At 34.4% G+C, this 23841-nt stretch overlaps 1 long non-coding RNA gene across 1 annotated transcript in view; it reads left to right on the forward strand.

The window, feature by feature from the left end:
• Positions 1 to 23841, forward strand: part of LINC01515 (long intergenic non-protein coding RNA 1515) — a 195117-nt gene that overhangs the window by 150223 nt on the left and 21053 nt on the right. Inside the window, exon 5 of the long non-coding RNA NR_120647.1 lies at positions 15250 to 15352. This is a non-coding gene — a long non-coding RNA (long intergenic non-protein coding RNA 1515). The remainder of the gene's footprint in view (positions 1 to 15249; positions 15353 to 23841) is intronic.

A 23841-nucleotide genomic window follows, 5' to 3' on the forward strand; every position in this document is an offset into this window, starting at 1 on the left:
ACACCTTTTCCACTGCTGCCTCCAAGTGAAAACAATTGTATCAATACTAAAAGTAATATAAATTAAAGTACACTCAGTAATATGTATATACATTTTTCTTTTCTTAATTCAATTCTCAAACTTTTAATTGCTATAATAATTTCAAACAGGCTTACTTCATATGGTAACTCTTTTGTTAACAATTTTTTATCAAAATAATTCCTGTAAAGATATACCACTTTTAGAGAGAAACTCTTCTTAAAATTTTATAATGGCATTTTTTGCAAAAGACACTGAAGAGTACAGTGTAAAATATGACATTCAATTAAAAGTTCAGGTTATAATAGATTCACACTTTTTAGGAACACAATCCACTTCATTCAGAGATTATTATATGGAACTAATGTAAAGTACATGCCATATTTGGATGAATCCACAACAATATGCTTTGCATACTTAATCAAGGATGTGGGATAAACAAGGATTATCTTCCTTAACTTCAGTTTCTTGCACAAGTATGTCATTTCCAAATATTTTGAAGCTCTCCTACTTTTATTTTTCTCTTACTGGTTTTCTGTCTTAAAAGTGATTTTCAGTGTATTTTAAATTCAGTATAACCAAAAGCTCCTGATTGAGAAAAATGATAAATAAAAGAGCAAAAATAAGACTGCACTTTCTGATAATACTCTCATATCCCTGTTCACCAACTACTAACCGCTGTCAGCCTATACCTTCCTCTTTGGAGATTACAACAAAGAGGCATCGTAATTATTCAAAGACTACATGCTTATGTTTAAATTATTCTTTACTACTTAGACAAACTCTTTCTCTTTTGCTCAAATGATATATATTTTTTTCTCTCTGTTAAAATTTCTTGAATTTCTTTGGCTATGATATAGTATATTATATTTTCTGAAACAATAATAAAAATATTTTCTGCAAATGGCTTTTATTCAGTAGCAGAAGGAATAATTAAAATTATTAAATTGAAAGGCCAGGTACAGTGGCTCACATCTGTAATTCCAGCACTTTGGGAGGCCAAGGTGGGCGGATCACTTGAGATCAGGAGTTCGAGACTAGCCTGGCCAACATAGTGAAACCCTGTCTCTACTAAAAATACAAAAATTAGCCAGGTGTGGTGGCACATGACTGTAATCCCAGCTACGTGGGAGGCCGAGACAGGAGAATCACTTGAACCTGGGAGGCAGAGTTTGCAGTGAGCAGAAATCGGGCCACTGCACTCCAGCCTCGGTGACAGAGCAAGACTCTGTATCAAAAAAAAATAAAATAAAATAAATAAATAACTAAATAAATAAATTGAAGGAGAATATAATATATTGCATTTTTGTTAAGGTCGGCCAAATATTCCCAGTTAGTTTTAAGTTCTTAGAATGTAGAAATTATGTCTCATATGCCTTCTATATGACATAGTATTATGCTGGATACCTGGTATATTGATGGAATGGTTAAACTTTCTCAGGGAACAGCTGATTATGCTTTCCTATGGCACTTATTCCTTGAAGATTTTTATTTCGAAAAAACAATTTCTCTGAGAATGCTCCTTTATAATAAAGAGTTGCTGGGAATTACAGTAATAGAAATAAGGTGGAGAAAGCACACAATGTGTGCTCAGAGGACATGAGTATAAGTTCTGCCACTGTGGTTACTAGTAGTTTCACCATTAGCAATTTAGATCACTTTTCTGAGACTCATTTGTCTCATCTTTAACGTTATAATAATAGGCCCAATTTTTCAATATCATTGTGGAGATTAAGTGAAAACATGAATGTGCACATGTGGCAGGAACATCTAGTGAGCCTTCATGTTCTAAATGGGCAAAATGAACACAAATTAACAAATAGACGGAAAATAAAATGTCAAAGCATATAGCAAAGAGAAATTATCTTTAGCTAAGAGTGTCCAAGACAAAGGAGGTGGTATATGAACTGGAGGTTGCTTTGTTCTATCAGTTCGTTTCACACCTCTGTAAAGAACTACCTGAGACTGGGTAATTTCTAACGGAAAGAGTTTTAATTGACTCAGAGTTCTGCAAGGCGGGGGAGGCCTCAGGAAACTTACAGTCATAGCAGAAGGCAAAGGGGAAGTAAGGCATATCTTACACGGTGGCAGGATGGGAGGGAAGTACTACACTTTTAAACCATTAGCTCTCATGAGAACTCACTCACTAACACGAGAACAGCATGGGGGAAACCGCCCTGATGAACCAATCACCTCCCACCTGGTCCTGCCCCTATACATGGGAATTACAATTTGAGCTAAGATTTGGGTGGGGCCACAGAACCAAACCAGATCCTTTGTGGAATGTTGAAAGTAGAACACAGTGGAACGCATTTCAGGTGAAAGGGGATATGTTAATAAAGGTCAAAGTGTAGTGAGTAGAAGGAAAGTTACATCAGGGAAGAGAAAGTAGGCATCTTTGGCAAATGATGGGAAACTTGCTTTGAAGAAAGCTATAAAGGCAAATTGACATAGATCTGAGTGGACACTAGTACTACACTAAGAATTTTAGATTTATTTTTGGAAATTGGTACAAACTTTGGGTGGTGGACTCTCTAGGACATATGAATTACTGGATAAACATTAATGGAAGATGAAGGTGGAATACAGATAATTTCAAGATTGCCTGAAATGTGATGCCGATAGCAGGAAAGAGAGAGAACAGGAATGGGGCAGACAGATTTCAATTCCAGAACTCGAAAACAAAGATTAATATAGAACATTATAAACATATTCAGGAAATCAAATAAATTTAAAGACACATAAATTTGGTAGAGTCGTACATTAACACCTGACTGTGTTTGAGTTGACTGGGATTCTTTAATCATGAACCCATTTTGTGATTTCAAGTTTATTTCCCAATGAGATAGGAATTTTAAAAAAAGCAAAATTAAGCCTTTGGTTGGATGTTGATTTTAGGAGCTATGGTAAATAACTATCTATTGTGTTCACCTCATTTCATTTTGCTAATTGCAATAGGATAAGAGCAGCTTTAAATTTCTACCTCTCAAATAAGAAACCATAAGATTGCACAGAAGAATTCTCATATCGTTTAGTTCAAGTTCTTTGTTTTACGGAGGTCCAGATGACTGAAGTATACTGAGCAAGCTCTTCAAAAGCGGGTTTGCTAATCTTTTTAAAACATGGTTTAAAACTTTCTTATTTTATTGTAGAAAACGTCACAGTATATGACAATAAAGAACAGAAAATAATTAACATTAAGACAATTCAGGAATTCTACCTACCTTCCCAGTGATCCCTTAGACAGGCTTTTAATGCTTTACCTAGGGCCTAAAATGTTTACAAATTTGCTAAAAGACCTAGGTTAAAAATGGATTAATTTCTAGAGACTGAAATTCCAAAGAAAGAAAACCAGGAAAAAAAATAAATCTAAATCACAACAACAACAAAAAGAAAAATCAGCACATGACTTTTGTTCTTAAAATAATTTTTAAGATTATGTTTGCTAAATGTACTATTAAGCCAAGTAAAAGAAATCAATGTAAAAAATCTAGAAGTAAAACAGAAGGCTTATGAATCACATCACTACATCAAGAATATTTCTTTTTCAGCATTGTATTTTTTGCACATATGGAAAAGAGAAAAACAAATATGAAAATGTAAATCTAAGAGTTACCAAGTAAATATCTCGGTTTCACCATAAGTGATATATAAGATGTATATCCTTTTAAAGTGTTTGACTTTTCAACTTTTTTAATGTATTTAAAAAATTAAAAAAATATGAAAGACTGGGTCCAGATATGCAATGATACTAATAGTGATAAAAATATATATTGAACAATGTCAGATATATTCATTTAGTTCCATGTGTATCAATTAAAAAAATCATATCTCTCCTTGAAAAATATAGAAATATTACTAACCTTCCTTTTATATTTTGGAAAATTTGTTTATTTCTAATTCCCTAAGTACTTTTCTTTTTATTCAGATCAAACACTCTTCTCTGAATCTTTTTCCTCCTTGAAGCATTTGGATATAAGTCTGTAGAAGGCAGTTTTTTCAGGGGTGACTTACTTGATGAAACACAAAAGAGGACAACTGTCCCCACTAAAAGATAATACCTGAAACAGGTCAAGCATTTTATGCAGATTGTGACTTGGAGCACCCATTCAATAAGAACAACAACAAAATAACACTACCATGATTTCAAAGCAAGCTTGAGAGGTTGGCAGTAAGACAGTAGCATCAGCAATATAGTATGTGAAGCAAACCACACTTCCCCAGAAACTATTTAAAATTAAAATTATAAAAAGCATGACTTAAAATAATTTCCAAGTTCTTTATGAAGCAGTTAGCTAGAGACAATGCATCGCATCAAATGCCTATATCAATAAAACTTAACATAATTTGATTATAAAACATAATTTAAAAATATAAAAAAAATTCAACAGAATAGGTTGAAAGAAAGCAGAAGGAAGTAATGACAAAAATAAAAGCAAAATTTAATAAGGTATAAATCGGCAAAGTAACAATTCCAGAAGCTGCCTCTTAAAAAACAAAACACTTAGCTACCCTAATTAAAAAGTGAAAGAGAAGAAAGTGCTAATACCAATATTTGAAATTATAAGGTAAAATGTCATGTAAAAAAAGAAATTTTATAAAAACATAGAAAACAACTTTTCTAACAATTTGCAAATGTGCTTGAAAATCCAAGAAATTAATAATTTTGTAGGAAAATAAAATTTACCAAATTGTCTTCAGTAGAGGCAGAGTCTTAAAAAATTCTCAAAAAGAGAAGAAATAATGAATATAGTCAAAAAGTCTCTCCATATTATATTTTTCTAGAACAAATCAACAAAACTATTCAAGAATAGACAATCTCAAACTATCCACATCACAGAAAAGGAAAGAACTATCTAATCATTTCCATGAAGTGAGCATGACTTTAATTTGAAAATATGACAAATATTTCACAAAAAAATCTTAAATTCTAATTTAAAATATAAAATCTGATTTTTGATTATAATACTGTAAAAATATTGCAATTTTAGCATTAAAATATTAAATAATTTTAAATAGCAAAAAGAATAAAATAATTATGTTTAATAATCAAGAATGAAAGGGTGTTTTAATATTATGAAATATATTAATATAATGAATTATATTAAAGAAATACAGGGATAAGCATATTGCTATTTCCATGGTGTCTATCTATCATTATGTATCAAACTACTTCAAAACTTACAAAACAACCAATTTATTATCTCATGATTGTGTGGGTCAGAAATATAGTGCAGGACTTTGTTGGAGAATATATCAATTCTTCATATCATTGACTATGATCACTCAGAGTATTCATCTCATATCTGGGCTGGTCTGGAAGATATTATGACAATTTCACTCATATAACTGGTATATTGCCATAAAGAAGATTGACAGCGAATCACCCGGGTGCCATTCATTTCCTGTACCTCTCTAGGCATTCTCCCCAGGAAAGTAACTACATTTTCTTCACTGTGGCTTAGAACTGCCATCCTCTAAAATACTAAGCCTAGAAACTGATAAAACATTATTTCTATTGTAATCAATTAGCCAAAGCAGTCATATAATAGTTTAGGTTCAAAGGAAGGGAGCTTAGACCCCACGTCATTAAAGAAAACCAAATATTTGTCATCATTTTTATTTCCTGCAGAGGTAGACTATGCATTTAAAAATAATAACAGAAATTTAACAAGAGTTTTAAAAAATAACTGTGTTAAAGTTAGGAATTAGACATAGATGCTGCCATCTTCACTATTACTGTATTACTCTATTAGCCAATACAATAGGCAAAAGAAAGCAAGTAGAGTCCTAATAATTAAAACAAATATATTTATTTGAAAATTATATTGTTATAGGTGGAAAATTTAAAAGAATATGTGGAAAAACTAAAATCAGCAAGAGAATTTAATGAATTCATTTATAAGATCAACATACAAATATTAATAGCCCTCATGTATATTAAAAAAAACAGAATACATAATGAAGAGCAGACCCCATTTGCAATGGCAAAAATTTTTAGAGGTAAGATAAAATGTCATGTATACATTGAAAAAATCTAAAACTTACAAAAAGAAACTCTAAAATATTGAAAAAACATACACAAGATAATACATTTTGTAAAATGAAAAAAATTACCATTTTTTTGACAAAAGACTTAAAGTTATAAAGATGTTAAACATTCTCCACATTAACTTATAATAAATATATATAATTATAGTTTATTATTTATAAATTTTGTTCTCTAAATTAAAAACATCACTGTGTTTCTTATTTACTACAGCAAAACAAAGTGATTATTAGGTTCACGTGGAGGAACAACCAAGGCAAGAATAGCTAGAAAAATACTGCAAAAAAAGAACAACAATGAGAAGGGAGAAGGTCTTACCACTATTCAAACACTGTGACATGGTATATAAAGGAACAGAATAGAAATCCAGATATTGATTCAATTTTGTATGGAAATAAATCATAAAAAGGCAACATGTTAAATAAATAGTAAAAAAGAATTACTTTAAGTTGTTCTGTGATAAACAACTATTTTTAAAAAAACTAATAATATACAAATGTCTGAAAGCTTAAAATTATACCAAAACAAAAAGATAGCAGAAAAATTATTCTTTTTTATATTACACACAAGAATATATTCTCAATGGATTGAGAATATGAATGTAAAAATTAAAGCAGAGATTTTCTTTTTAGTACCTCATTGAAATCTCCTAGTATAAAACACACCAGGAAAAACAACTGAGAAAAATTGTTTAGGAAAGTATCATAGGCAGTAGATAGTATAACACACAGATCACTGAAAGAAGACAATATTACAAATGGGCATCATAACTGCCTAGGAAAAGTTACATAGCTGCAGCACAGTGAGCTGGATGCCAGGCTCAGAGCCTGTTGTTCCTGTAGAGCTGCAAAAGCAGTCATAGGGTTTGGGGGAGCTAACATAGCTCTAATCTATCGGGAACAAAGTGGAGAGGAGGACACTGGATGTGTGAGGGTCTGAGAACTGTATGTGAAGGGTCTTCATGAAACCTTGAGCAAGGGTTGTGCTGAGCACATGCAAGGTACAACTAAATGAGGCTTACTAGGAAGTATCTGCTATTGGGATGGGATTGGAAATATCAGAGATCTAATTCAACTGAGACTTTGTTAACATGTTAACATCACAGACATCTAAATGAAATACCAGAAGGCTGTACCTTAGAAGTATGAACCACACCCTACAATAGGGCCTACTCTAGATCCTCCTTAAACACACACACACCCATACACACACACACACACACACACACACACACACACACTTATGGAAGAAAAAAAAAAACTTCTGGTAAAATGTTATGGGGAGAAAATGGTTGGGAATCCTCTAAAGTTAAAGGATATTAGAGAAAACACTATTTCTACACTTCTACCCTTTAAAAAGCTCAAAGACAAGGCTACACAAGTTTAAGGCGACATGCCAAAAACTGAAATACCTATTAAAGCAAAAATAAATGTACTTCAGAGAAAGTTACTAGAATCTAGAATCTCCACAAATCAAGAATGCCCAATATACCATAAAATATGGCAAGACATGCAAATAAACAGGAAAATGTGACACTCATCAAGAACAAAAGCAGTCAACAGAAATGGACCCTAAGATATCTGAAATATATTTAGCTGATAAAGATCTAAAAACGTGTTATAAAAAGGTTTAAAGAAGTAAAAAAAAATAAAGAAAAAATTAAATATAATCTTAATGAGTGAATTAATAAGGGTCCTAGGCAGAGAAATAGTACCTATAAAAATGAACCAAATAAAATAAATTCAGAATGAAAAACTATAATACATTTTTAAAAATTCACTGGATAAGATTAATAGTACGTTGGAGATGACAGAAGAGTAAGTAAACTTTGAGATCAACAAAATGATCGAATGTGTCAACAAAGAATTCAATCCTGTACTCACTGAAAGTTTTCTTTAAAAATGAGGGTGATGGGATTTTTTTCAGACAAATTAAAGTTGTATACTTGCACTACAAGAAATGCTAAAGCATGTTCTTCAGATTGAAGGGAGGTGATACCAGGTAGAATCTCGATCTACAGGGGAAATAAAAGAAGAGCATATAAAATAGTAAATAAGAAGGTAAATGTTGATGATATTGCTTTTATCTTATCATAATTTTCCTAAAAGGCAATAAAATAGCTCCATATATCTGAGTGTACAATATATAGAGAAGTAGAAAATACAACAAAAAGCAAAAAGACAGAGATATTCGGGTAAATGGAAAGACACTTGACATTGTTGAATATAGGAGTAAAAAATAGAAAGTAGCAAATTGAAGTGCTAGGTAGAAAGTGTGAAGGGTCAAGTGTGAAATGAAGAAAAGACATAATGTACCTAGGGATAAACTTAAAAAGAAAAGCAGAAAGAGACAAAAAGCATCATTCTTTTGACTGCCTGATGTATGTGACTATTGCATTAGTCAAGTCTCTCCAGAGAAACAGAACCCACTGGATGTGTGTCTCTTTGTATATTTCTCTATCTTTCTCTTTCTCCTTGTCTCCTTTCTCTCTTTCTCCTTCTACACACACAGACACACACACACACACAAATATTTATTATGAGGAATTGGAATTGGATCATGTAATTACGGAAGCTTGCAATTCCAAAATAATGCAGTGTGGGGGACCAGGGAGAGCTGATGGTGCAGATCAAGTTCAAAGGTGGTAGGCTAGAGAATTTCTTCTTGCTCTGGAGGCCACGGTTTTTGTTCTGTTCAAACCTTCAACTAATTGGATGAGGCTCACTCACATTAAGGAGGGAATCTGCTTTATCCAGAGTTCACCAATTTAAATGTTAATCTCATCTAAAGACATCCTCCAAGCTGACATGTAAAATTAACCTTCACAACTATTTTCTTTAAGTTAATGCACTAAATTTATTACAATTCCAGTTAAAACACTGCTAGAATAATTGGAATTATATAAGCCAATATTAAAGTTCATATGGAAAATAAATAGCAAGAATTTCCAGGGAAATTCTAAAAATAGAGAGTAATTAGAGGTGACAATTTCTCCCAGATATAAAATATGTTTGGAAGACACCAGTGAGTTCCTGGTGAAAAATCTGGTAAACAAGTCAAAAATAGTATAGAAAAAATCTGAAAATTCATAGAAAATGAATAAAAATGTATCTTAATAAGAACAAGTCCCATCCTATCCACAATAAAATAAATGCATATAAAACTACATTGAGATATAATTTTTATCTATTACATTGAGAAAAAACAAATAACTGATAGCACAATACATTGGAAATGACGTAGGAAAATAGGCACTATTATGTATTGCAAATGATAATGCAAATTAGTAAAATTTCTACAAAAAGCAATTTAGCAACATTTATCAAAATCACAAATAAACATGCTATTTGACAAAGCAATTTCCCTCAGAAATGTATCATTCATATTTATTTAACATATATGCATTATCACTTGTAAAATCAATAGAAAACTAGAAAACTTAAGGTTCATTAATTGTTTAATAAATATGTTATATAAAACATAACACTATATGACTTTTTAAAAGACTAAGAAAAGTCTATATAAACTATATTCAAGATATATCAATTGAACAAAATAACAAAATGTAGACCAGTGCATAATATATTATTCTACCATTTGTTTGTATAAGGGAAAATAAATACATATACATTTACTTGTTGATGAATAGAATATCTATGAAAGAATGTATAAAAAAGTGATATTATGTGTTGCCTTTATGGGTGAATAAATGGTTGGACAGCAAAGGAGAGAAGATTTTCACTAAATTAATTTCTTGCACAAATAAATCTAAAATATTTAAATTATTAAAATGTTAAAATTAGAATATCTTATCAGCCTCATACTATGATGCGACTTGCAACTTCAACACATGGGCACATATGAAAATTATTTTTGTAGGCTCTAATGATTATGTATAGTATAGGTTTTTTTTTAATTTTTCAGTCTCCATTTTAATATTTTCCTTTGTTTTGTTCAGTTTGAATGTTTCCAATTAAATTTATGTAATTTCCTGTTCACAATCTTATTACTTACCTCTATTTTCTTAGTTTTTAAGTGTCTGTTTTGCTCATTAGTTCGATTTTCTGTTACCCTCAGTCAAGTTTATTTCTTACTGAATAGAAATGACGTGTCTTGTTTTATTTCTCATCTTTAGTAAGCACAATTGCCATCGGTTATCCCCCAACTCCTCAGCACCCCACCCAACCCCGGACCTCATCACCAGGGTTGTCCTTTAAGGTCTTTATACTTCAGTCTACCACAAGTCATGCATCAAATCCCTCTGGTAAATCATGTGATTGTCCCTCTGCATGGTCAAGGCAAACCTAGAATTTCTTCAGTAGTGCTGCTTTGAGAAAAGATTCATAAAATTATATAAACATTTTATAGTGTGTACTTAATAAGAATAGTCATCTATCTAAAATACATACAATCTAAAGTGATATCTATTGTTTCCTTTATCTGTTCTCCTGTTTTATTTCTTAATTATAATTCATTTAAACCAACATAGCCTAGTTATTTTTAGTTAGAGATGAATTTGCTTTGATGTGATTTTTTTTCTTTTTCTGCAATGAAGCTATGTCCAAAGAATGTACTTTTCTTTTCTGTCCCCTGGGTTGAAGCAATTCTTGTGCCTCAGCCTCCCAAGTAGCTGGGACTACAGGCACACGCCACCATGCCCAACTGATTTTTTGTATGTTTAGTAGAGACGGGGTTTCGCCATGTTAGCCAGGCTGGTCTTGAACTCCTGGCCTCAAGTAATCCACCTGCCTCAGCCTCCCAACATGCTGAAATTACAGGTGTGAACAACCACGCCTGGCCAGAAAGTACTTTTCGAGAAGTTTCATATAGATTCTTTTCCTGTTGCTTAGAAATAGATGGCAGTTATTCAGAGAACCAGAGAAACTAAAGTGTGTACATTTCCCAGTCAAAAAAAAATACGATAAAAATATTGACTATGAGCAGATATATTGTCTGGATTGTCTGTTAATTATCCGTGTTCACATGCAGTGAGTAATATTTGGCACATTTTTTTCTACATTCCTTATTTTCATCCAGAGTATAATTAATGTCTTAATATACCAGAAAGAAAAACCGCTGTCCTATATATTTTTGAAGGAATGAAAGCTGAAAACAGGGTGTGAAAATGATTTGTTTACCTTGGTCCAAAGCAAAATCTCTTTAATTTTTCCAGCTGCATTGCTGCAGTAATTTGAAAGCCTGAGCATATCTCCCAGTATCATTGAAACAAAACTGGAATTAAGATACAACCCACTCAATCCATATCATAAAGTAGTCAAGGAAATGCTGATGATGGTTGAACCATTGAGAGTTGGTTGAATTTTATGAATTAATGGCATATATATCATCAACAATTATGCAGATAATAAACTGATTCTGTTATGCTTAAACAAAAAAAGGGGCTTGCCCTAAAAATATGCCATTTGAGATATTATCTTTTCTTTTACTTCGTGCCTAAAACACGGATATAGGTGGGAAAAAGAAGAAGACTGTCACACTGATACAGAAGCGGGCAGGGAAGTGTTGGGTAGAGAAAGGCAGGTCCCCTGGCTAGGGTTCCACCCCTGGGCCTATACCCACAGACCTAGGTGAGGACAGGCACTCCTGCCTTCATGCCCAAATGTTGCATTTTCCAAGACCACCCTGCTTGCCATGCCCCCATCCTGTGCCTATGGAAACCCCAAGACCCTAGCGGGCAGAGACATGAGCAGCTGGACATCCAGAGGAACACATCAACTAAAGAAGACACAAGGGGCTGGATGTCAGAGCATGTTAGCAGAAGAGCACACCAACAGGCCCGAAGGCCATCGACTGGTGGAATGATGCATACTTTGACCAGGGTGGTCAGACGAGAGTTCGTGCTGCTGAGCGGCCCAACTCCAGGGGAAAACCATCTCCCTTCTGGCTGCCCCATCTGCTGAGAGCTACTGTCACTCAATACAACTTTGAACTCATTCTCCAAGCCCATGTGTGATCTGATTCTTCTGGTACACCAAGGCAAGAAACCCTGGGATACAGAAAGCCTTGTCCTTGTGATAAGACAGGTGGTCTAATCGAGCTGACTAACACAAGCCAACTATGGGTGGCTAAACTAAAAGAGTACCCTATAACACACGCTCACTGGGGCTTCAGAAGCTATAATTCACCCCTGCACGCCCCCATGGGGTCAGAGCCCCACAGCCTTACCCATTTGCATGCTCCACGCAGAGGTTTGAGCCACAGGGCACTGAAGAAGTAAGCCAGACCCCCACTGCATGCTCTATGAGGGGGATAAGAGAACTTTCAACACCAATAACCTAAAATGTGAAATGTGTGAGCTAGATGGACCACTTGGATTCTACAAAAGTGTAGTTTGAATACACCATTTTCTGGTTGACGTATGTTAATTTGAAACACTTGGCACTGCAAGGAAATCTTCACTTCCTGCAAGTGTCTCTGTTTTGAATATTCTGAGTAGCCTAGTACTGTCTTTATATCTTTCAGGAGAGTGTCTTGCTGTCTGTGTGTGTATTTGAGAGTGGAAGTGTGTGTTTGAGATGGGAAGAGGGCTAGGCCATCTAGTGATGGTTCTCTGGGATACCAACAAAGTAAATACTGAAAGAAAGGAAATCAGTGGAGCCAAAGGCCAAGGAGAACCTGAGGTCAGTGAAGTGAACATGTGTCTTACCTACAACCTAGCAATTCCAATTCTAGGGAGGTAACTAGGGACATTTTGACATAGGTACACAGGAGACCAGCACTAGAAATGTTCATGGCAGCATTTTTTGTAATACCTCAAAACATGCAAACAACCTAAATGTCATCACTATTAGAATAAACAATTTAGCATATATTCATTCAGCAAATACTATGCACAGTGAAAATGGATCCACAAGCTATATGTGTCAACTGTGATGAATCCTAAAAATGTAATATTAAGAATGAAGCACGGGGCCGGGCGTGGTGGCTCACGCCTGTAATCCCAGCTCTTTGGAAGGCTGAGGCAGGAGGATCACCTGAGGTTGGGAGTTCAAGACCACCCCGGCCAACATGGAGAAACCCTGTCTCTACTAAAAATACAAAGTTAGCTGGGCTGGCGCATGCCTGTAATCCCAGCTACTCAAGAGACTGAGGCAGGAGAATTGCTTGAACCCAGGAGGCAAAGGTTGCAGTAAGCCGAGATCGTGCCATTGCACTCCAGCCTGGGCAACAAGAGTGAAACTCAGTCTCAAAAAAAAAAAAAAAAAAAAAAGAATGAACCACTGTCAGGCACAGTAGCTTAACCCTGTAATCACAACACTTTGGGAGGTCAAGGTGGAAGGATTGCTTGAGGCCAGGAGTTTGAGACCAGACTGGGCAACATAGCCAGACCCTGTCTCTACAAAAATATTTTAAAAATTAGCCAGCTGTGGTGGCACATGCCTATAGTCCTACCTACTTGGTAAGCTGAGGCAGGAAGATTGCTTGAGCCCAGAAGTTTGAGGTTACAATAAGCCATGATTATACCACTGCACTCCCTGGGTGTCAGAGCAAGATCCTGTCTCAAAAAAAAAAAAAAGCAATTTAGATATAACTCAAAAGAAAGATTAATGTAAAATTAATTAGAATGACTGCTTTTGGAAAGAAATTGTAAGGAATATGATGAGGGAAGGGTAGAAAAAGGTTTTCAAAGTGCAGTAAATATTTGATTTTTTAACTTGGGTAGAGAAATGTTTGCTATATACAAAATGTAAATTGCGTACAAAATATAAAACACTGTTATTGGCTCTCTTTTATTGAATATTGTCACAGAAATTTTGTAACTTATTTTCCCAAAGCATCTGGTACTACTATTATTCCCTTTTATGTAGAAGCAACCTTAGGCACATATTAACCCAGCCAAGGTCACACAGAATAAATTATCCAAGATAGCATGGCTAGCAAGTTTCAGATCTGGGATTTAAACCGTGGTAATCTGAGTGCAGTGCAAATTTTACTCTCTATATAGTGCTACTGTACACATTTCCTTATCTAAGCACATGCATGATTTTAATGTGGCTAAAATCATATTAAATTCTGCATTTTATCTGTAACATTGCATTCAGGGATTGTCTGTCACCCATGCATTTTCTGTGTCAATGGGTATGGTTAAATACTCATTGAAAACCATATATTTTAATGGTTAATATTTTATCCTATAGTTGTGCCATACTTTATTTAAAGCCACCTAAGTGTTTATTTCCAATGTTTCAATATAATAGTTTCAAAAATATTCTTGAATATGTTCTTTCTTTTCAATAAAAAATACAAACGTAATTTTAAAACATTCTCATTGGTCTCTAAAAAGCCCATATCAACTGACATTTCCATTAGGTATTTATGAGAGAATTAGTATTTTGAAAATTGGACACATCATCATCATATAACATTGCTGCTTTCATCTGCATACATTTAATAAGCAAGGGGTTTGGATTTTTATGTGCATTTTGATAAATAATTTTATTTTTATAATATTTTAGTTTTCTTTATTTTTTTTTTCTTCTTTTTTGTTTTTTTTTTTTTTTTTTTTTAGAGGGAGGATCTCACTCTGTCACCCAGCTGGAGTGCAGAGACACCCTCACTGCAGATTTGAACTCCTGGGCTTAAGCAATCCTCCCATCTCTGCTTTCCAAGTAGCTAGAAACACAGGCTTGCCCCACCATGCCCAGCTTTCTTTTTTGCAATAGCTAAGTTAGTATTTGTTTTAGTGCCAGGTAAGATAATTTAGTATAAAAAAGATTATGGTTATTTGTCATGTTGGTCTAAAGGTTTTGTTATTCTACAGGTACCTTTTAATTTTATTTTTGACCTAAAATGTTTTAAAATTTTTCATGAGTGTGTGGCCTTAAAACTACTAATATGTTTAGGAAACTATTAATTTGTGTGGGAAATATATTTTGTGTTTTCTACCACAAAAATCATATACAAACACCATTTTTTCTTCTTTATATGTTTTAAAATTATTAATTATTATACCTGCATCTTATTTTTGGTCAGATATAATGCTACAGTCTGAAAGTTTGCCTTCCCCTCTCCCAAATTCATATGAAATTTTAATCCTTGAGGTGATGGTGGCATTAGGAGATTGGGCCTTTTGAGAGCTGGAGGGTAGAGGCCTTAGAATGAAATTAGTGCCCTTATAAAAGAGACACCCGAGAACTGACGTGCCCTTCCACCTTTTTGAGGGCAGTGAAAAGACTCCATTTATGAAACAGGAAATGAGCCCTCATCAGACACTGAATCTGCCGGCACATTGATCTTCGACTTCTGCCTTCAGAACCATGAAAGGTAAATTTCTGTTGTTTATAAGCCAGCCAGTCCATGGTACTTTGTTGTAGACACCCAAACAATCTAAGACAGATGAGTATATCACTTTTTTTTCCAAAATCGTTTCCTAATTTTCGGAAAGTTTTCAATATTTCTTGTATTTAATTAATTTGGAATATATATATATATATACTGCCATCCTTTTATTCTATCAATTCTTACACCGTTGATTTCTAAATCATTTACTTATCTATCAATGTTTGTACTAATACAACATTGTTTTTCAATATATACAAAAAGCAAATATCTTTACAATTCTATTTGAAAAAGATTTCTAGATTTCAATATTACTCTCTTCTCTACAAATTTAGTAGCAATATCAATTACTTGGACCATTGCAATGAAGTCCTGACTGGCTTATTCACTTCAGCAGTATCCTCCATTGTCAATATTTCACCTAGCAGCCAGGGTGATTCTTAAACATGTCAATCATATCATTTCACAGTTTAAATAATCTAATAGCTTCTTTTTGATTTTATAATTTAAAGTTTTCATGGATTATTCATTTCTACAGAATCTGGACACCCCATTTGGTCCCCAGTTTTGGCCTAATTCTCCATATCTCTCATTTTGTTTTAGCTACTTCAGCCTTCTTGATATTCTAGGGACAAATCAAGTATAATTCTCTCTATAGAAATATTATTGGAATTTTTGCATCATTTTCAATCTTAAAATGATGTTGGTATTAACTAAAAATAATATTGCCATTGCTTTCCAGTTTCTAAATAACAAAAATTATAAAACAACTTTATGTTTTTCAATAGCCTTACACATGGACTTAGATAAAAATTGAGCCTTTTGAACATGAAGAGTGGTGTCATATTGCTTGCTGATGAAAACATCTATATTGTAGCCTCTGGGTCAAAAATTGATCACAAAAATGTGATCTTCTAGGGAATTTGATAGTGACTGCAAGCTCATTTGATAAGCAGGGACTGGATAAGCCCAGGCACACGCTTCAGTTCAAGAGTCTTGGGGAAATTAGCTATATCCCATCCCTAACCCTCAATTTTATTGTAGCAAAAACTACAATGGAAAAACAACCAATTGTCACATCCTATCTGGGAAGGGCATTGTGTGGAATAAACAGAGAAGTCATTAGCTAGTCCAAGCACTTAGATTTTTTGTTTCTCTTTTTTAATCTTCAAGACAAACTGAAGACACAAAGAAGAGAAGTTATTATCAGGCTTTTTTTATAATTAAAAAACGTAACAGATAAATTTTCTATGCATGAAATCCCTTTATATTGAACATAAATTTTCTTGGACAAAAATCTTGGCTTTTAAGAAACATTAATAGCTATCTTTTTTCTTTTTGTTAACTAGAATCCATTTATAATTCAAGTTTTCATTCCACCAGAAGAAAGTAACTTAGTCTGAGTTAATTGAGTTATGTTTATTGTATACAAGTATCCACTCTTAGGACATCACCTCTTCTAGGAATCAAAGCTAATTTCCTGGAGAGAATGGCTTACAAGGAGGACATTTTGTTTATCATCATTATCCATGCTGGTACTAGCTGGGCATCCAAGTTCCCATAAGTTCCCAAGTTCTCAGTTCAAAAGGCCCATGCAATGCTGGGCACGGTGGCTCACGCCTGTAATCCGAGCACTTTGGGAGGCCGAGGCGGGCGGATCACGAGGTCAGGAGTTCAAGACCAGACTGAACAACATGGTGAAACCCTGCCTCTACTAAAAATACAAAAATTAGCCAGGCATGGTGGCATGTGCCTATAATCCCAGCTACTCAAGAGGCTGAGGCAGGAGAATCTCTTGAACCTGGGAGGCGGAGGTTGCAGTGAGCCAAGATTGCGCCACTGCACTCCAGCCTGGGCGACAGAGCGATACTCCATCTCAGAAAAAAACAAAACAAAACAACAACAACAAAAGGCCCATGTGGATCACAGCTGTATTCTTTTGACCATAGCTACACAGTCACTTTAGACCTTATGCACTCTCAGTTAATTTGATACACCACTAGGGGACATGGAAAGTGTTTTATTGCCCTCCTGCTCTTCTCTGAGGCTGTGAGGAAATTTAAAACTATCAGCTCCCCATAATTTATATACACTGTATTATACTTTCTACTCTACTCCTCCGAGAGAGTCAAGTGTGTAGGAGTCCTTTCTTTGAAAATCCATTTGGGAATCTGGTCACAAACTCCATACAAATTAAGCCCCACAACTACCTCTCGGATTTTATTCTTCAACTCATCTATCTCTACCCCAGGAATTAACCCTGGTACAGCAGGTTAGAAACCTTTTTCTCAGGCATACGTAGAAATGATTAACTTTTTGGGGGGCATGAGACTCCACATTTTCTACCCTTTCTCTGTTTGTTTGGCTATTACTGAAGTATTCTTGCTTAGTATTAATTTATAAAATACATTTATGTCCATAGCTATTCTAGGCTATGGCTTTTGTAACACAAAATATGTTTTCTTGAGAAATAATGCTCTTTAGAAAAAATGATTTTCAAAATTCCATTGTGAAACTCAAAAACCAATACTTGATATGTTTTGTTCTATGCATTTTTATATGGAAACTTTCATTGCATAAGCCAATTAATCATTCTTATCTGATAGAAAGAAACAAAAGGCAAGAAAAATGATTGTGAATGAAAAAGATGTCAATAAAATAATTTCATTTAAAAATGAAACTATTGAAGAAAATAAAATCAAATGATGAAAGCTCCTATTTTTCAGTCTCTAGTAGACTGCTATAGTTGTCCAGAGAAACAGAACCCAAAAAAGACATTATATATATAGAAACCCTTATATATATAAATATATCTTAAATATATACAAAGCTTATATATAATATATATTTAATACATAGAGAATATACATAATTTATATATTATATATAATTAATATATACTTTAGATACAATTTATATATTATATATCATTAATTTATATTAACATATTATATATAATTAACATAGGCTTATATATAATATATATTATACATATAAACTTTGTATATCAATTTATTATGAGAGAGATTTATTATAAGAAATTGGTCCACAGAATTATGAAGGCTGAGAAGACCCAAGATCTGCTGTCTATCAGCTACAAACCCAGGCGAGGTGATGGTGTAGTTCCATCTGAGTATGAATCCATGGGAACCAAGAGAACCAATGGTATAAATTCTAACCCAAATCTAGAGCAAAGTCCTAGGAATTGGAAGGCTGCTATTTTAAATTTCAGCCCAAGTACAGCAGAACAATATTCCAGCCCAACAGTCAGGCAAAGAGAGTGAATTCTCCCTTCCTTCATACTTTTGTTCTATTTGGGTACTCAAGGAAATGAATATTGTTCACCCACATTGAGGGCAATATATTTTACTCAGCCTACTGATTCAAATGCTAATCTCATTCATAAACACTCTTGCAGACAGAAATAATGATTACCCAAATATCTGGGCATCCTATGACTCAGTCAAGATAATACATAAACCTAACTATTAAAAGTCTACCCTTTTTCAACGTGGCATTCATCTGTGTCTCCTTAAACCACAAGTAATCTCCAAATAAAGAGAGTAACTGGGTCACGATTCTGCCTAATGTGACACAGTGATCCTGTGCACAACCAAAACCACACCAACTCCTTCCTAGAAAAGGAGATAAAGTACGTGAGTAATATTTAGTATTCTCTTTGATATCTTGTAATATAAATACTATGAGGTAAAATAGACTATACTTAACTAATATGATATAAAGTTAATACATCTTAGATTATAAGGGAATAAGACAAGAAAAAAAACAAAGATATTTATTACACACACAAATGGAAACAACAAAATAGGAGCAATACTCATGACAGTTACAATGCTCACTTTTTCAGTGGTCACATGGTCATAGCTAGTATTAATAATTATCCTTTTCAATATTCAATCTGTTTTTCCTTTGTCTTCTTTCAGTAAGCACCTCAGCTGGTCATGGTTCTCAACCTAATGGGGGAACCCAAACCTTTATTCCTGAAGTATATGGCTCATTAGCAGTCCTGGCTGGCTTGGGTTGTTGTCATTATCCATCAACATTAATCAAAGGACATGCTAATACTCATAGACATGCTTTCTTATTCTCCATTGCGGAGTGGTAGTCCAAATTTCTATTGGTAGTGAGGATAAACCACTCAAGTCAACTCAGTAACTCCCTTCTTTGCCTATTTATTCAGAGGCACAAGGAGCCCAAAGTTAGCAGGCAGCAGTCTTAACTTCCAGTTCAGTGGAATCACTGCTGTGCTTCTTGTGGAAGCATTCTTCCCTCTGGCCATTATGCCAGCAGAGCATAAGGTTGTGGGAACAGAAAGCAAACTTTGCCAGTGGGTCATTGGGAATGATAGTGAGAAGTGCCACTTCTATTTCCATCCCTTGATTCTTGGATCTGTGAATCCTTATGGGAAAAACATGTTAGAAACTGATTCAGAGCATATACAGTCTTCTGAAAAACACTGCCAAGATTTGCAAGGTCTTGCCACCTAGATGGCACTATGAGTCTTCAAAGGGCTCTTCCACCTTTCTGTGAAGGCTAATGCTTCAGGATGGTGGGGAACATGATAATACCAGTGAATTCCATGAGCATAGGCCCACTGTCATATTTCTTTTGTGGTGAGTTCCTCGATCAGAAGCAATGCTGTGTAGAAGACCATGATGGTGGATAAGGAATTCTGTAAGTCCACAGATGGTACTTTTGGCAGAAGTATTGTATGCAGAGAAGGTAAATCCATATCAAGAGTAAGTGTCTATTCAAGTAAGAACAAAATGCTACCCCTTCCATGATGGAAGTAATCCAATGTAATCAATCTGCCTCCAGGTAGTTGGCTGATTACCCCAGGGAATGATGCCATATCGGAGTCTCAGTGTTGGTCTCTGCTGTTGGCAGATTGAGCACTCAGATGTGTCCATAGCCAGGATGGGCTTAGTGAGTGAAAGTCATGTTGCCAAGTCCATGCATAACCTCCATCCCTGCCACCTTGGCCAGTTTGTTCATGAGCCCACTGGGCAATGACAGGAGTAACTGGAGGAAAAGGCTGACTGGTAACCTTAGAATGAATCATCCTATCCACTTGATTATTAAAAATCCTCCTCCACTGAGGTGACTCTTTAGTGAGCATTTACAAAGCACACAAATATCTTCACTCTTTGTTTTTTTGCATCTTCAGATAATTCTATCTACGTACTTCTTCCCCAAATTTCCTTGCCTCCAATTTTTCAATCGTGTTTCCTCCAGATTGCTGACTGTCCAGCCAAACTATTGTCCACAGCTTATGAATTAGTATATAATCATATATCTGGGCATTTCTTCTTCCAAGATAAGTGAACAACCAAGTGTGCTGCCTGAAATTCTGCCCATCAGGATAATTTTTCTTCACCATTATTCTTTAGAGATGTCCTGAAAACGGGCTATAGTGCTGCAGCTGCCCACTTTTGGATATTGCCTGCATATCATGCAGAATCATCTGTAATCTAGGCGTAAGTTTTTGCTTTTTCTATTAACAGATCATAGGATACTCTCCATAAGGCCATAGGTGCAGATGAGAGAGCAGAAGCAGTGTAGCAGGAGGAAGGACCATGAGCATCTGGGCTATATTTTTATATAAATTACTTGTGCCTTTAGAGCCTGTTTGTGCCCAGTCATAATATAATACTTCCTCGATGATGCATCACTACTGTGAAAGTCCAACTTTAAGGCTTGGTGGGCCAGGTAACACCCAGCTCATCATGGGCAGCTTAGGTTAATGGTAACTTGGCTGCCCATGATTAAGCATTCAGTTCTCTATGAAGGCTGAGTAAAGAGTTGTTCCTTAAAAGGAGTAGTTATTTGCAGAGGATGGCAAGAGCTTTGTTCCAAAATCCAAATGGCCTGCACTACCATTCATCTATGAGGGCCTGCTAAAGGCTCCAAACAGAATCCCTATCTGCCACTGACACTTCAAGCACCATTGGATCTGCTGAATCATATGGCCCAAGAGGTAGAGCAGCTTGCACAGCAGTCTGGACCTGTTGCAGAGCCTTCTGCTGTTCTGGGCTCCACTCAAAACTAGCAGCTTTTCAGGTCACTTGGCACTGTCACACTCGGAAATAATGTATAATAGGCAAAACAAGAAAAAATGTTTAGCCAAATATCTTGGCATCAGTGACACAGGCCACTTCACATGTAAAATTAGCTGACACAATTGTGCTGAATTAAAATGGCTTAATTGGAATAGGAATGATAAGAGTGTTAACTAACTCATAGCTCTATGTGTCTTTTGAATATAGCTGTCTATCTTTATATCCATCCACCAATTTATCTATCTAAGAGATAACATACGTGTAAAACTAACATTGTGAATCATGACTCAGTTGAATAAGAACACTACAAATAACTTTAAAAACTCAAATGCCTTTGAAACCTTCTGTCTTCCCTTCAATAACAAACTTCTAAATTTTGTTTTTATCATTCTCCTGTTTTCAAAATAGTTTTACTGAAAATAAATGTGTTTTGAATAGGATACTGTTATACTTTGTATGTTTTCAATTTTATATTAATGATATACTACATGAATTATTCTCATGTGCCTTTTTCACTCAAAATTGTTTCTTGACATTTATCCATGTTATTTTACACAGTTATACTTTATTTTCAATGCTATCAATATTCCAGTGGATAGATATTCTGCAACTTCTAAATTCATTTTAATATGTTCTGCATGATATCATTTTGGAAGCGTTTTGGGTTAAGTTTTACATCTTAATAAAAAATAAATTTTCATAAACATTACATATGTGCTTAAGAAACTACCTTCTCAAATGTTTGAAAAATAATCTTATATATGTGCATTTAATGTACTTAACTATGTTCTTTTAGTGGTAGATGGTCTTATTTTTTGTCTACATTACCTATCAATGATCAACATAATGCAAATGTTGAAATCTTTTAAATATGATTATGAATTTGCCAATTCATTTTCTATTTCTATCTAATATCATTTTCTATATTCTACTTTTGATATATTTCTTGTCAACATTAACTGGATATAATATTTTAAATATAATTTAGAAATCATTGTCTTTTAAATAGTTAATTGGTCCATATGAATATCTAGATTATTGCTATTATTGATATATTTGGAATGAAGTGAATATATCATATATTGATATCTCATATATTGCTTTACTATAGATTGAGTTTTCCCCAGGTTATGTCCTCCTTTCTTGCCTTCTTGGAATTATTTTACTTCTCATACACATTCTCCAAACACTACTTTGGAAACCATATAATTCATGAGTTTTCTTTCAGTGCATACTCATTAAAAATTATTGTGTTTATTTAACTTGAACATCTATCTTAACTACCCTCCCTCAAAAGAGAAAGAATTTGGAACTCTATCTCTGATTAAATCTATCTTGAATGTTATCATTTTTGAGCATTTTAGTTCCATTTTTTATTTCCTAATCACAGACATATAAAATATTATCAACAGTGTTAGGACCATCACAATTCCATGGGCAAGGATATATCCGGGCAAAGATGATTGCATTTGACTAACACAGATCAATGATTCTAATATGAAATACAATCTACTCATCTCTCGTGTCTCTGATTTCATGGTCTGAAAGCCCCCCTATGCTTTTTCCTCAAAGGATGTTTCCTCGGTGGATGCATGACAGCACATTGCTGTCATGAACATTCCACACTGTTTGGCAGTATTGTTTTTCTCATTTTAACCAACAAATTGAAACTGTAGTTTATATGCTGGTCTCTTGGGAATCTTTTAAATTATGGCAGGCATAAACTTACTCCAGAGAGATCAGATCCATTTCCTGGAAAGGCAAACCCAAAGATAAAATCCTGGGACATAAGCAATTTTGTTTCCTTAGAAGTCCTTTCATCTGTCTTGTTACTGCAGCACACAATTGGTCAGAGAAGCCCTCTGAAAACTTCAATAACAGTAATGCTAACTCTACACACAGAAACTCAATTGCATGTTTTCAGGAAAAATGTAAAAATCAACAATATGATATACATGACCCAAACAAATAAAAACATCACACAGTCTTTATTCTCATAAGACATTAGCTGCAATAGGGAATTAACATATAGTGAAAAAATTATTTTTAAAAATTTTTCTCCTATTTTCACTTGTGTTGTTTCCACTTTTTGAAACTTTTTTTTTTTTTTACTTTTCTTCTTTTTTGTTTTTTTCATTCATTTATTACTGCTTTCATTGTCTTTCTATGTTGATAACTGGGAAAAGTGTATAAGGTTAAATCTTGGGTTACTAAGGAAAAGCTATAGAAAAGAATCATATGCGGCCAGGTGCAGAGGCTCATTTCTGTAATCCCAGAACTTTGGGAGACGAAGGCAGGAGGATCACTTTGGCCCAGGAGTTTCAGAACAGCCTAGGCAACATAGGGAGACACTCTCTACAAAAAAATATGAAAAAAATAACCAAGTGTGGTGAT

Source organism: Homo sapiens, chromosome 10 (assembly GCF_000001405.40).
Source record: "Homo sapiens chromosome 10, GRCh38.p14 Primary Assembly".
Classification (NCBI taxonomy): domain Eukaryota; kingdom Metazoa; phylum Chordata; class Mammalia; order Primates; family Hominidae; genus Homo; species Homo sapiens.